The following is a 14,950-nucleotide window of genomic DNA, read 5'->3' as shown; positions in this document are numbered from 1 at the left end:
TATGTAGACCACACCAGATCAAAAATTTAAAATCTTATCTTAATCATCCACACCAAGTATGAATGAGGCTTCTGAGGGTGTCCTTGACATAATTCCCTTCCCTCTATCAACCTGTGAAACTGAACAAACAGCTTATCTGCCCTCAGTGTGCAATGGTGGGACAGACATAGAAAAACGATTCTTTTTTTTAAAAATTTTTTTATTATACTTTAAGTTTTAGGGTACATGTGCACAATGTGCAGGTTAGCTACATATGTATACATGTGCCATGCTGGTGTGCTGCACCCATTAACTCATCATTTAGCATTAGGTATATCTCCTAATGCTATCCCTCCCCCCTCCTAGAAAAACAATTCTAGTGATTCTTGTTCACAAACGGGGAAAGTGGAAGTAACAAAGAAGTCACTGATCCAAAACCTTTTTGAAATGGGGCTGAGCAAAGTCCAGCAGGAATTGCGTGGTTAGGATCCACAACCTGGAACTAACCTTCTGTGACATGGGGCTTTGCCTCTGGAGTCTGCATTTCTTTCTATCTTTATGGCAATCATTTTATTTTCCTTCCTCTCCTACTCCCTTGGTTCTTCCCCTTTCTCCTTATGGCAGCATCCTCCCCTTAATCCTTGGCACATCATCCCCAGCAGAATTGGTCAAATGTTGCCCACGTCACGGTCCTGACCATCTCCATGAGGGGCTGTCCTTGTGACCCCCTGCTCCCCTGGGACCCTCTTCACTGACCTGACCTCTCTGTCATGATTGCTTTCAGCTGACCTGGCTGGTTTAGGAGAAAACCTAGAATTGTGGAGACCCAGAACCAATCTCTGCCCTCTCTTATCTCCAAGAGAGGAAGAAAATAATAGGTATCACCATGGAGAAATGACCCACATGAGGGCTGAGACTCTCCAGCAGTTAGAGCAGAGGAAACTCCCTGAAGAAGGGAGGAGCTGAGATCCCAGGCTGGGAGAGCAGGCTTGTGTTAAGCATTACTTAATCTTTAATTGCTCCCTGCCTGAATCTACCAGCCAGCGAATGACAACTGACTGAGTATAAATACTAGGACTACAGAACCGTGATAAAAGGTTTGTCCAAGGAAAAGCCCTTTTACTTTATTTGTTTTCACAGTGGAAATTGCTGTTTTTGATCCAAAGTTTTCTGAAACGCAGCAGTGAGTTCCTGGTGGGTGAGTTAGGTGCTTTGGACCTGGAGGCTGAGGCCAAGGCTTGTGTGGTCGATCTGCTGCCACCATGTGGTGAGGGAGCCTGGGAGAGTCTTAGTCTTTCTTGGCTTCACTTTCCTCCTCAGTGAGGTAGGGGCTTATTGTTCCTCTCTGAGGTCGCTTCCTACTGTGTTTTCTCTGAGTCTCTGAGGAACTGAGATGGTTTTTATTTATTTATTTTTTTCCTTCCCTTTCCCTCCTTCTTTCGTGTGCCCAGCTGCCAATCAAGCCACCCACCTTTCCATTTGCTGGGGAAGGGGGCGGTACCCAACCCCCTCTATTACTAGGGGGTTGTTATGGTAACTCCCCACGCGAGGGCTGGGTGGCCTCTAGATAGGACGGGCTGTCCACCCACCCAATTGCTATGGCAACAGTGGAGCCGCTGAGGGAGGGGCCACTCCGTGAGAACTTGGCTGGAGAAACCACGTGGGAGTTGGGGGGCAGAGGAGGGGCACCGGCTGCCTCAGGAATGCCCTTTCCACCCTCACCTAGCAGGTTGGGGAAGCATCGAGGTGCTCTCAGATCTCAGGATAAGGAATCCTACCGCAGACGTGTATCTCTGCACCTCTTTTAACGAAGTGTTCTGCACAAAGGAACTGTTTCCACAATTATTCATTGATCACTGGAGTCGCGCGTGGAGGAAGGGGTGGCGAAGGGGAAGAGAGGGAATCTGCGTTCAGTCCCTTAAAATATTGCTTGGGTCGCCTTAGATCTAGTCATGTTGGCATAGCGCCTACAGCCATTAGCCTCAGTGGAGGCTGGGTAATGCTATCTAAGAACCACGAGTCATGTTCTACCGCTGAAATGCTGTGTGACCTTGAGCAAGTTGCTTTGCTTCTCTGAGGTTTTCTTTCACTGTGAAATTGAGGGGGGAGGCTGTATGATCCTCAAGAGCTCTTCTAGCACCAACACTGCCTCTGAAAGACTCCACCACCAGCCTTAATATAAACATCATTTAAGAGAGTTTAATTTAGAAGTCCTTGAAAAATAGCTGAACACATTCCTTTCTGGACCCTTTTTAGCATTTGGGTGCACAGCCAGTCGGCCCCCTTCCCTAACCCCTAGCCCATTTTCCTTGCCACTGCCCTTATTCCAGCCGCTATCCCCATTCATCTCCTATTTGGCCTTCCGGCCTGACTCCTTCAAGTCAATTCTTTTTTTTTTTTTCTTTTTTCTTTTTTTTTTTTTTTTTTTTGAGACAGAGTCTCACTCCATCGCCCAGGCTGGAGTGCAGTGGCGCGATCTTAGCTCACTGCAAGCTCCGCTTTCCGGGTTCACGCCATTCTCCTGCCTCAGCCTCCCGAGCAGCTGGGACTACAGGCGCCCGCCACCTCGCCCGGCTAATTTTTTGTATTTTTTATTGGAGACGGGGTTTCACCATGTTAGCCAGGATGGTCTCGATCTCATGACCTCGTGATCCGCCCGCCTCGGCCTCCCAAAGTGCTGGGATTACAGGCGTCAGCCACTGTGCCCAGCCTCTATTTTTTTTTTTAAAGAAAAAGTCTCGCTCTGTCACCCAGGCTGGAGTACAATGGTATGATCTCTGCTCACTGCAACCTCAAGCTTCCCGGCCCAAGCTATCCTCCAGCCTCAGCCTCCCAAGTAGCCAGGACCACAGGCAGTGCATGCCACCACGCCTGGCTGATTCTTATATGTTTTGTAGAGATGGGGCTTTGCCATGTCGCCCAATCTGGTCTCAAACCTCTGGCCCCAAGTGATCTGCCCGCCTCGGCCTCCCAAAATGGGGAGATTACAGGATCCCTTGAGGACAGGAGTTGGAGGCCAGCCTGGCCAACATGGTGGGGTTTTTTTTTTTTTTGAGACAGTTTTAGTTTAGTTTAGTTTTTTGTGAATTTGTGAATTTGTTTTTATTGGGGAACAGGACACAGGGTGGAAAATGTCACCTTGGTGGAGACAGAGTTTTGTTCTCATTGCCCAGGCTGGAGTGCAGTGGCACAATCCCGGCCCACCGCAACCTCCACCTCCCGGGTTCAAGCAACTCTCCTATCTCAGCCTCCCGAGTAGCTGGGACTACAGGTGCACGCCACCACGCCCAGCCAATCCTTTGCATTTTCAGTTGAGATGGGGTCTCACCATGTTGGCCAGGCTGGTCTCGAACTCCCCATCTCAGGCGATCCACCTGCATCGGCCTCCCAAAGTGCAGGGATCACAGGCGTGAACCACCACAACCGGCCAAGCCTGGCAGACATGGTGAAACTCTGCTGAGATGGTTTTTAATGCCACCCAGGACCTGCAGCTGAGACCTGACTCTGTGTGTCTCCTGCAGGAGCCTGAGCTGAGTCCACACACTGGAAGCCCAGAACTGAGGGAACAGATGAAAGAAAGAAAGTCAGCAGGTTTAGGGGATGAGAACAACTCACAAAGGACAAGCCATTGGTAAATGAAAACCAAAGAAGGGGGGAATAAGGACAAGTTGGGATAGAAGCCTCAGGGGAAATGGGCAATGCCTGTCATCATCCAAACTCTCAAGGAGCAGCGCGAGCTGAGCAGTGGGGACTGAGAGAGAAATTTACTCCACAGGAGTCTCCTGCCCCTGGCCAGGGAGAGCCACAGGCTGGATGACATCTGGTTTATAGTGAGGGGCAGCAGCAACTCCAAGAGGGGGAAGATGTGACCATGAGCCCCGCCCCAGACCCAGGAGGCTTGACCTTGGGGCTGCCGTAGCAGTGGATGCTCTTCAGGTCAGTGTGGGTTAGAGGGAATAACCATGCTGGGAGAAGGGTTGGAGACATCCATTCTTATGTTAAAAAGCTCTGCCCTAGGTCAGGTGCTAGAGTAAGTGTCCCTTGCTAGTATACAAAGCAGTGATACTTATAATATTCTTCTGTACTTACAGTTGAAGGAGGTTTCCAAATGATATCTCATAAATATTTATTGGTGTTTAATTTTCTTTACGCTGTGTTAAACACTTGGGATTCAGATATTAATGTCTCCCCAAAGGAACTCAAGCCCATGAGAGAAAGAACAGAAATATAGCTTTTTAAGAAAATATGAAAGTTCCCCCACATTGGGGTGCTGTGGCAACCCATAGAGTGGGAGTTTAAGTGAAGACATTGCTCCTAATGACAGGGGGAATCATAAGAGGACTTCTTCAGAACAGACTCATTTTCCTCCAATGTCCCACAGAGAGGGATCCTGGGGCATGAATGGTGTAAGGCAAGGGCCAGTCTAAGGAAAGGGATTTGCTGCATCCTGGGAGAAATCTCAGCCTCCCTGACAGGATATTTGGGACAGGAATGCAGGTGAGAGGAGGTTTGCAATCGCTTTTATTCAATAATTGATGAACACTCTCCTGAGAACTCCCTTAGTGCTAGACCCTGAGCTGGGAACCATGAACACAGAGATTAGCAAGATATGATCTCAGCTTTGACAGAACTCTCAGTCTAGTGACCAGCGATTCCTGAGAAGTATGGTGATGGTGGGTTCACTGGAACCAGTGGCCCATGCTGCATGGAGATGACCTCAGTGGATGGCCTGGTCTCTCTTCTGTTTTTTTCAAATAGCTGAATGACCTATCCTGGGCCCGTGACCCTGGACTTCAGCCAGATCAGCATCTCAAGGTACAACCAACATCTTGGCTCCATGATGGGTCAAAACAGTTAACACACCCAAGGTATTCAAGGTATCAGTAGCTACTGACTATGTCCTGGCCAGCTGTGAAAAGAAAGGGGTGAATTTAACAAGTATTCTAAAATTGTCCTTGACATAGTAATCACAGATTATCTATCTTCTGTCTGGTAATATATATATATATATATATGTTTTTGTTTTTGTTGTTGTTGTTTTGTTTTTTTGTGACGGAGTTTCGCTCTTTTTACCCAGGCTGGAGTTCAATGGCATGATCTCGGCTCACTGCAACCTCTGCCTCTGGGTTCAAGTGATTCTCCTGCCTCAGCCTCCTGAGTAGCTGGGATTACAGGTGTGTGCCACCACGCCCGGCTAATTTCCTATATTTTTAGTAGAGACGGGTTTTCACCACGTCGGCCAGGCTGGTTTCGAACTCCTGACTTCAGGTGATCCACCCACCTCGGCCTCCCAAAGTGCTGGGATTACAGGCGTGAGCCACCACTCCCAGCCTCTGTCTGGTAATTTAAATGCTTTGGAGACTCCAAGATTCACCCATGTCCAAAATAAATTCTATATCAGTCATAGTACTAGCATTTAGAAGTTGTGTGTTTTATCCTCTAATTATAGATGAAATACCTAAGGTGGAAAGGAGTAAAGCAGCTTCCATGAATGTAGTGAGAATGTAGGGGGGTTAGGGACTAAAGTCCTGCCTTAGGATTCCCCAGCAGTTGCCAGTCACAATTTTTGTACTCTTAGAAACAACAACAACAACAACAAAATGACAACCTGTTTTGTTCCTCTGCTTACCCTATCCAATTCTCTACACCATAACATCTCTGCTTATCAAGACAACTTGGATTCTCAATTTGTTGAGCTCAACAAATGCATCTCTTGAGCCCCTGTGGGTAAAGCATTATGCTAGTTATGGCGGGTGATACAGAGGAAGCACAGAAGAGTCCTTAGTGACAAGAGCTTAAGATTTCTGCTCTCAGCTCAGCCTGAGTTGCCTGCAGGTGAGAAAATCAGTAGCCGACACCCACAGGTGCATTCTGGTGAAAGGGTCGATGATAATGAATAGTGGTTCTGACAGGGCTGGGCTCTTAACCTCCCAAAGATGCTGGTCAAACAGAATCTGGAGGATCTCTGCACATAGTGTCTGACTACTGACTGTCATAAGTGAATGTCGCCAAGTCTTGGCCTGGATCCCCTCCCTTTGTTTCATTTCACAGATTACATGTTGACAGCAGGAAAATCAACAGAAAGACCATGAGGCTAGACTCCAAAAGACTTAGTAATGCTGCTGGGTGGGCCATGAATTTTTAAAAACACATGAAGGGCCTTCTCAGAAGTGAAGTTTTAGGAAATATAAAATGCATAGCTGGGATACATTATAGTGTACTGATAGAACAAATATTGGATATAGCAGCATCTAATAACTTCTGGAGGAAAAAATATTTTTCACATTACTCCAATTATGGCCTTATATGACAAAAAAAGAAAAAAAAATCCCTAAGAGAACCACTAACATCCACTGGTTTTGTAGAAACAGGATACCCTTAGTGCACTTAAAGTTGGAAAAATGGCTCTGCCTTTAGGGCCATGCAATGAAACAGACTGTGTGGTAGTTGACACAGGAAGAGCAGAGCAGAGTTTATAACAATGGCCACAAGACAGTTAAGGAAATGCTTTGGGGCTTTTAAGCAGCAGATAAGGTGACTCAGAGGAATGTTAGACAATCGCAGAAAAGCAACTTCAGCAAAGTTTTTGATTCAGTGGGCACTGCATACTTAGTCCATGCTCTGCATCTGTTCTTTCACAGTCTGTCCCTTCATCGACTTGGGCCTACAATGACTTTTCTGGGAGGGGAGAGGGATCAACACAACAGCATGCACACACCTGAAATAAAGAATGAATTTCTGATTTTCAGATTTTAGTCTCTGACATAACCAAAGAAGTGACTACCATAGATGTTAACTTTTTTTTTTTATTATTATACTTTAAGTATTAGGGTACATGTGCACAACGTGCAGGTTTGTTACATATGTATACCTGTGCCATGTTGGTGTGCTGCACCCATTAACTCATCATTTAACATTAGGTATATTTCCTAATGCTATCCCTCCCCCACCCCCCCAGATGTTAACTATTAATAACATAAATGATGCTCACAAATATGCAGATCTTATAATAACGAGGTAAAATAGCTTAAAAAATAGATGGTAGAACTGTAGTCCAGGGACACTAATAGAAGTGACCCATAACATTACATCATCTCCACTTCCAACAAAAATCAGGCAAAAGAAGGAAGGAGACTGGCAACCCAATGCACAGAACTATATATAACAGGCATACTAGTTATTGGTTGGTTATAAACCAGTGGGAATAAATCTTTTTTATATACTGACTCTTGGTTTATGTCACTGAGGCACAGCATGGAACAATAGAAAACCGGACTGTAAGATAAATACATTTGAGTAACTGGACTTTTGTAAACCATTAGACAGACATTTGAGAAACCAAATTTAAAGCTGTTTGTGAGCCATGTTAGCCTATCAAGGTTGAAATTCAGGAGAGATTCATAACGAAAAATAAATGCTTTTTTTTTTGTGACACTGTGATCTGATGCATTGGGAATGTGATCTTGTGAATCACTCAGGTGAGCAAGCCTGACATGAGTGGGCATAAAGGTCAGTAACTGAAGAGGTACCAAAATGTGCTACATGTGTCAATTGTGACCTAAAGAACTGAAGGCATTCACCCTCCCTTGAAGTAATGAAGCTGACACAGCAGGGGGCTGCAAATTCCACTGCAGATCAGGGTCTTGAAGCTGACATACTGAAGAGTGGACTCCCACTTGAGATACAGAGTAGGAACTACTGTTTCCTACGGCTACTGAATATCCCACAAACTAACCTCCTCAGCATGCCATTATTAATTATTTTAAAGCTCTTAAAGGTCTCATTTTATAATAGATCACATCAGAAGGAAGACTAATAAGGATCAGGTACAAACTCATACTTGCTGGACATATCATTGCATATCATCCCCAAGTTTTTGGCACTACATAATGTTGGAATAGATTCTTGAATATTAAATTTTAAACTAAGGGAGAACATTGGCTTCTAAATTTTACAACTATAGTATTGCAGCTAAACACAAGTGCAGATGGGCAGCCTTATAACTGCATGAGTAATCTTAAGGAAAACTTATTGGTGAACATACAGAACATTTCACATGCATTTGTCTACAAAGGACAAACTCTTCCCAACCTCAGAACTTGATATGCGTTAGGACATTCCTCTCCCTTGGGCTGGTGATAAAGCTCCAATTGAAATGAGAAAGATTCTTCATGCCTGGTAAATACGCAAGTTTCCAAAGATATTGCCACTGGCCAATCAAACCTGAATCCAAAAAGCATTTGTTTCTAGCAGGATATAAGATCAATATGCAAAAATAAATTGTGTTTATGCAATTGCACAGCAGAATTTAAATGTAAAAGGAATACCATTTACAATAATGTCAAGTGTATAAAATCCATAAATGTGAATATGACTGAAAATTAGAGCATATTTCACAGAGAACATAGTGCAGGCCTAATAACTGGAAAGATATTGTTTGCTCATGTGTAAGAATATTGTTGAGATGTTCATTTCCCCTAATTTGATCTATGAATTCAATGCAATCCGACTCAAAATTTCAGCATGCATCGTTGGTAGAAAATGGCAGCTGATTCTAAAATTAACATGAACTAGCATAACCAAAATGCCTGTATAACGAAGTGCAAAATTGGAGGGCTAGCTCCACCTGATTTAAAGAACAATCACAGAGTTGTAATGGCCACAACAGAGCTTTGGTATGTGATCAATTAAATGGATCAAAAGAAAATAGAGTCCAAATATAAATGAACACATATATTGAGAACAGATTTTTGACAATCTTGAAAAAGCAATGTATTTAAAAATGCATAATATTTCAACAAACGATTGAAGATTTTCTTTTTAAGCAATGGATGTGACATATTTGTAACCATATAAAAATAAACAAGTAGAAAAAACTGAATTCATGTGTCATATCATATATTAAAATTAGTGGTTACAAGAGGCTGGGAAGGAGATAGGGGAGAAGGAAGAAAAGATATTGGTTAATGCATATAAAATATAGTTAAATAGAAGGAATAAGTTCTAGTATTTGATAGTATATTAGGGAGACTATAACTCAAAATAACTTCTTGTATATTTTAAAATAACTAGAAGAGAGGAATTGGGATATTCCTAACATAAAGAAAAGATAAAGTTTTGAGGTGACAGATATACTACTTACACTGATTCGATCATTATAAATTGTATATGTTTATCAAAATATCATGTGTATCCCCAAAATGTGTGCAACAATTATACATCAATTAAAATAATGAAGAGTACATCTTAGACAAATTAACAATGATTCCAATCCCATCGAGTACCTTTTCTGACCACAATGGTATGAAACTAAAAATTAACTACATAAGGAAAACTGGAAAATTAAAAAATACATGGAAATTAAACAACTTGCCTTTGAACAACTGATTGATCAAAGAACAAATCAAAAGGGAAATTTGAAAATATATTGAGGCCAACAAAAGTGAAAACAAACATAACAAAATCTTTGGAAACAGCAAAAACAGCTCTTAAGAGTCAAGTTTATAACCATAAATGCATACATTAAAAAAGAAGAAAGACTTCAAATAAACATTACACCTCAAGAAACCAGGAAAAAAACAACAAAATAAATCCAAAGTTCACTGAAAAAAGGAAACAAAAATCAATGCAGAAGTAAATCAACTGAAGAACAGAAATACTACAGAAAAATAATAAAAGTGAGTTGTTGGTTTTTTGTTTTGTTTTGTTTTGTTTTGTTTTCCTTTTCCTTTCTCTTTCTTTTTCTCTTTTTAGGAGAGACAACGTCTTACTATTCTTTCCAGGCTGATTGGGAACTACTGGCCTCCAGTGGTGATGCAACGTAGGCCTCTCGCACCCGAGTTGTTTTTCTGGAAAAAGTAAAATTAACAAACACTTGGCTAAACTAACTAAGAAAAAAATAGAGAAGACTCAAATAAATAACATGCGAAATGAAAGTGGAGGCATTACAACAGAAGCCTCACAAGTAAAAAGGATCATAAGAAACTATTATTAGGCCGGGCGCGGTGGCTCCTACGCCTGCAATCCCAGCACTTTGGGAGGCCAAGGCGGGCGGATCACGAGTTCACGAGATCGAGACCATCCTGGCTAACACGGTGAAACCCCGTCTCTACTAAAAATATAAAAAAATTAGCCGGGCGTGGTGGCGGGTGCCTGCTACCCAGCTAGCTACCCAGTAGCGTGTAGTCCCAGCTACTCGGGAGGCTGAGGCAGGAGAATGACAGGAACCCGGGAGGCGGAGCTTGCAGTGAGCCAAGATCCTGCCACTGCACTCCAGCCTGGGCGACAGAGCGAGACTCCGTCTCAAAAAAAAAAAAAAAAGAAAAAAGAAACTGTTATTAACAGCTCTATACCAACAAATTGGATAACCTAGAGTAAATGGATAAATTCTTAGAAACACACAACCTACCAGGATTGAATCAAGAAGAAACCGAAAGCCTGAACGACCAATAACAAATAAAAGGACTGAAGAACCTCCCAACAAAGAGAAGCTCAGGACCAAATGGCCACACAGCTCAACTCTTCCAAACATTCAAAAAAGAACCGGGCGCGGTGGCTCACGCTTGTAATCCCAGCACTTCGGGAGTCCAAGGTGGGCAGATTACCTGAGGTCAGGAGTTGGAGACCACCCTGATCAACATAGTAAAACCCTGTTTCTACTAAAAAAATACAAAAATTAACCGGGGGTGGCGGTGCGTCCGTGTAATCCCAGCTACTTGGGAGGCTGAGGCAGGAGAATCGCCTTGCAGTGAGCCGAGATGGCGCCACTGCACTCCAGCCTGGGAGACGGAGCGAGAGTCTGTCTCGGGGGAAAAAAAAAAAAAGAAAGAAAAAAAAGAAAACGAAAACCACTGCAAATCATAATGCATTTTGTCCACTTTCTGAGAATGTGATTTCCTCTTCCTGTGGAAACAGCAATAATTTTTATGAGGGGGTGCTGCCCGGACCCCACTGGAGGAGTGGGTAAGATGAGGATTGTGCTCGGTGTTGCCTCCCTACAGAACCACACATACTGATCTGTAATACCTGTGGCCCCTAAGTGTCCGTGAAGGGACTGGTCCCTTTACAACATTGCGTATGGCTGCGGAAACCCACTATGTGGCAACAAGATGTATATGTGTGGGTTGGTGGTAAAACCATTATAGGCAACGGAAATTCAAAATGTTTCAGAACTCTTAAAAGTTCGCCTCATGTAGTATTTGGTTTCTTGCAGGGGGCCCCAAGCCCCCGGGGCTGTGGTCAGCTACCTGTCCTGGGCCTGTTAGGCACCAGGCCGCACAGCAGGATATGAGTGGCCCGCAAGCGAGCATTCCAGCCTGAGCCCCGCCTCCTGTCAGATCAGCGGTGGCATTAGATTCTCATAGAAGCACAAACCCTATTGTGAACTGCGCATGAACGGGATCTAGGTTGCGCGCTCCTTACGAGAATCTAATTAATGCCTGATGATCTGAGGTGGAACAGTTTCATTCCGAAATGATCCTTCCCTCTTTTCACGTCCCCCACCCCTGGTCCAAGGAAAAATTGTCTTCCACGAAACCAGTCCCCGAGGCAAAAAAGTTTGGAGACTGCTGGTCTACAGTGTCCCAAAACCCTTTTCTATGGTTCCTTCCCAAAGCCTGGAGGCTCTAAGTCCTCCCCTGTTCTTATACTCCTGTGTGTTGAGAAAAATAGCATTTCCTATGCTCTGAAGGTTCTCCAGAACATTCTTTCTAGGCTGCAGGATGGAGATTAATAATAACAGAATATTTGGCATGGCCTTGTTAGCCAATCCAAAGCCCTCTGGGCTGAAGTGGGGGTTTTTCACTTCAGGGTCATCCAGCCTGGGTACCTTCCATCTCAGCATCCCCAGGCACAGACAGGAAGGTGACATCACCCCATTTACATGATGTCTGTCTTTGTGGCCTGGGCCACTGGGTGGCTTACCTCAGAGGCGGAGATGTCAGAGATGGGTGTTCTGGGCATGATTAACAAAGGGAAAACTGAGAGCGTTCCTACTGAAGCCCCTTCTCCTTTCAGCTCCCACCCAGGTGGCCTGTCCTCACGGGCCTTGGAGTGGAGACTTGAGCCACCAACTGTCAGAGGTGGAGACTTCACAGGCACAGCTGGAGCCAAGAACCCTGGTGCCCAATTGTCTGTGACTGCAACTGGATCAAGGGTTTGACTGTGGCTATGGCTTAGCCAGGCAGGATGTTTCCTCCACCACCTGCAGCTTCACAACCAACGGTGATCCTGGGAACCAATGGCCCTTCCAAGGTAGGGAAGGAAAGGGGACCAGGAAGCTCTCATCCGGGTGTCCTGGTCATGGTGCTGTGAGGGGAGGAGGCAATGGGGTCTCTTCGTGCTCCCTCAGAGTCAAGCAGAAATCCACAATGTTCCAACCCAGTGAGGTGAGCAAGAGCCTGGGGTTTAGGATCAAATCTGCTCTCAGGTCCTGGGCTTAACCCTTACTCATTATTCATCTCGGCCAAGTTATTTGTGGTGTTGGCATTTACATCTCAGTCCTGTCATCTGAGAGACCTGAAAAATAATATCTACATTCCATCATTGTTGATAACATTAATTATGATAATTTCCAAAGGGCTAATTCAGTAAAAATTGCTTAATAAATCTATGAATAGATGTTATCTAATTCTGTTATCTTTCTGGTAAGTTAGCACTCAGGAAATGACTTCACGTGCATTGTTTCAACTGAGGAAGAGTAACTGTTAGGATCTCTACTTTCTAGAGACTCCCTTCCTGTGTTTACTTAGAAAGTATCTTTTGCCAGTTTTCTTTCTCTTCCTCAGCATCCCTTTTTAAGTCAATTTCCCCCGGTCATGCACTTCAGTAACAACCTATTAGGCACATTAGTAAAAGTGCAAATCCTGGGCCCACAAGTCAGTCTCCTGACATACCCAGCTTCTTGCTCTGTTTTCTCCCCTCGTTTTGAAATAAAAGAATGAAAGGGCAACCTTCTCATGGAAAGGGTATAAATCTGTCTCTTTTATGAAACTCCATTTAGTTCATCATCTCCATTCATGCCCACGGCCATGTCCTCAGTTTTCTTCTCACAGGGATCCACTTCTGCCCAGATTTCCTTAAAACCCTGGGTTGTGTTCATCCTTACTCTCCGTCCCACTCAATATCTACTCCTGGAGCCCCTGGGGCTGCCTGGTGCTCATCTGTCAATCGATGCCCCCAGCCGAGGAATAAGGAGACCCACGTCCTCAGGAGGAGGGAGGGTCACGTGAGATAACGAGCACCATCTGGGTCCATGGAGAGGACACATGGAAAACGCTCAGTGAGTGTCGGGGGATGCGTAGTCCCTGACACGTGCCCTGATAACTTTGAGTATTTAAACTGATTTCTTCCCACTGGTGTCTCTTTTGCTTCTCCATGGATTCCTGCACCCCTAGTCAGGACTCACCCCGCTGGCTCCAACACTCTTACCTGCTGGCTTTCCCAGGAGTCCGGATCACTAACCAGGTTCCAGGCAAGAGGACAGAGTGAATGCCTTTTGTTTCATTGTCCTTTACCTGGTGACTTCTCCTTGCTGTCTAATAGGGCATTTGTTTCTCACCATGTCTTCTCTCTCTCGTTCATCTTATTTTTCTAAAATTTTTTCCAGTTTCAGTGGACCAGATTATAATGTTAGTGATTATAACGCTAATTCAACATCTTCCACATCCTTATGTAACAATTTCTTCCAATAGATTTATATATATAAATATATGCATTTATGTCATTGGATATATATATTATGCATATTTGGCATGTATTTTTAATAAAATGTAGATATATGCTACATACATATCTGCATGCTCATTTCATCAATATCTCATGTTTAGTCTATCCAATTCTTTTCTCTCATATGTTCATTTAATGTTGAGTTTTAGAATCTCCTCCCTCCCAAAACACAGCCTGTATCCAGTCTGACTTCCTTGCCTTTGCCTTATCTACCTGGAAACTATTTGTGTTTATTAATCCTAAATTTTTTGAATATGTTTGTCAGTTGGGATCACCTTTTCCTCCTGGCAATCTTGTCATTACTGGGTGATGCATGAAAAATCAACAATACAGAAAATACCAAAATGTCTTTCCTGGCTTCCCTTTACCCGTTGGACTTTCTCATTCAAGACCACTTTCCTTCTCTGATGATCCTCTTGGGTGGAAGAGAAAGTCACAGTAAGATCATGGATGACAGTGAACACTGTTGGGTGTGGTTTCATTTTCAGAGCTGGGTTTAGAGCCTTCCCTTGAATGAAGAACCCTCCCCAGCTGGAAGGTGATGCTATTGAAGGCTCAGCTGACAACATACATGGGCATCAAGTCATTGGCCACATTCATGCCTCAAGTGTCCTAAAACCGAAGATGATCAAAAGAAAACTGCTGTTCAGCAAGTGGAGACTGGCATGCAGATTCCCTGGCCTGCAAGCTTAGAGCAGGAAGATAATCACATCTATGGCTCTTAGCTGCACTCACTCCTTATTCCTCTCTGTCTATGATGACAGCTCCTTCTCCCACTGCTTTTTTCTTCTGTATTTGTTCTCTCCAGCAGCTGCTGTCACCTCTGTCTGGTATTACCTCTGTGTCCCATGGGCTGCCATGCTGCCAGGTCCTTCTGATCCCCATCCCCTGAACTCTGCTCTCTGAACTCTGCTCTGTTCCCACTGCTGTTGTCCTAAGAGTCCCTCTCATGGCCGCAGGAGAGCCCAACTTCCTTGTCCCCCTCCAAGTGCATGGTGTGAGCTGCTAAACACAGGGTTCTTTGCCTGGAATTGCACGGCTTGAGTAATTTGCCTTTCCTTTCTGCATCCCAAACTCCATTGCCCCTTTCTGCCAGGAGCATTGCTTTAATACGTCATTTACACACAGATTTTTCTCTTGGGACAGCTTTTGAGCAACACAACTAAGTCAAACTGTAACCCTCACCTTGTACATGGGAATGAGAAGTGTTAAAACTGAGCACTAAGAACTCCAAATCAAAAACTAA

At 44.1% G+C, this 14,950-nt stretch overlaps 1 long non-coding RNA gene across 1 annotated transcript; it reads left to right on the top strand.

Moving 5' to 3' along the window:
* The first annotated feature begins 998 nt into the window (after positions 1 to 998).
* LOC105371211 (uncharacterized) lies at positions 999 to 14,575 on the top strand. The gene is made up of 6 exons (XR_007066572.1): positions 999 to 1,076; positions 3,501 to 3,610; positions 3,755 to 3,915; positions 4,738 to 4,794; positions 11,995 to 12,231; positions 14,193 to 14,575. It is a non-coding gene; the product is annotated as an uncharacterized LOC105371211 (long non-coding RNA).
* Positions 14,576 to 14,950: the final 375 nt, after the last annotated feature.

Source organism: Homo sapiens, chromosome 1 (assembly GCF_000001405.40).
Source record: "Homo sapiens chromosome 1, GRCh38.p14 Primary Assembly".
NCBI classification, from domain to species: Eukaryota; Metazoa; Chordata; class Mammalia; order Primates; family Hominidae; genus Homo; species Homo sapiens.
This window is presented reverse-complemented; position numbering and strand designations above follow the sequence as displayed.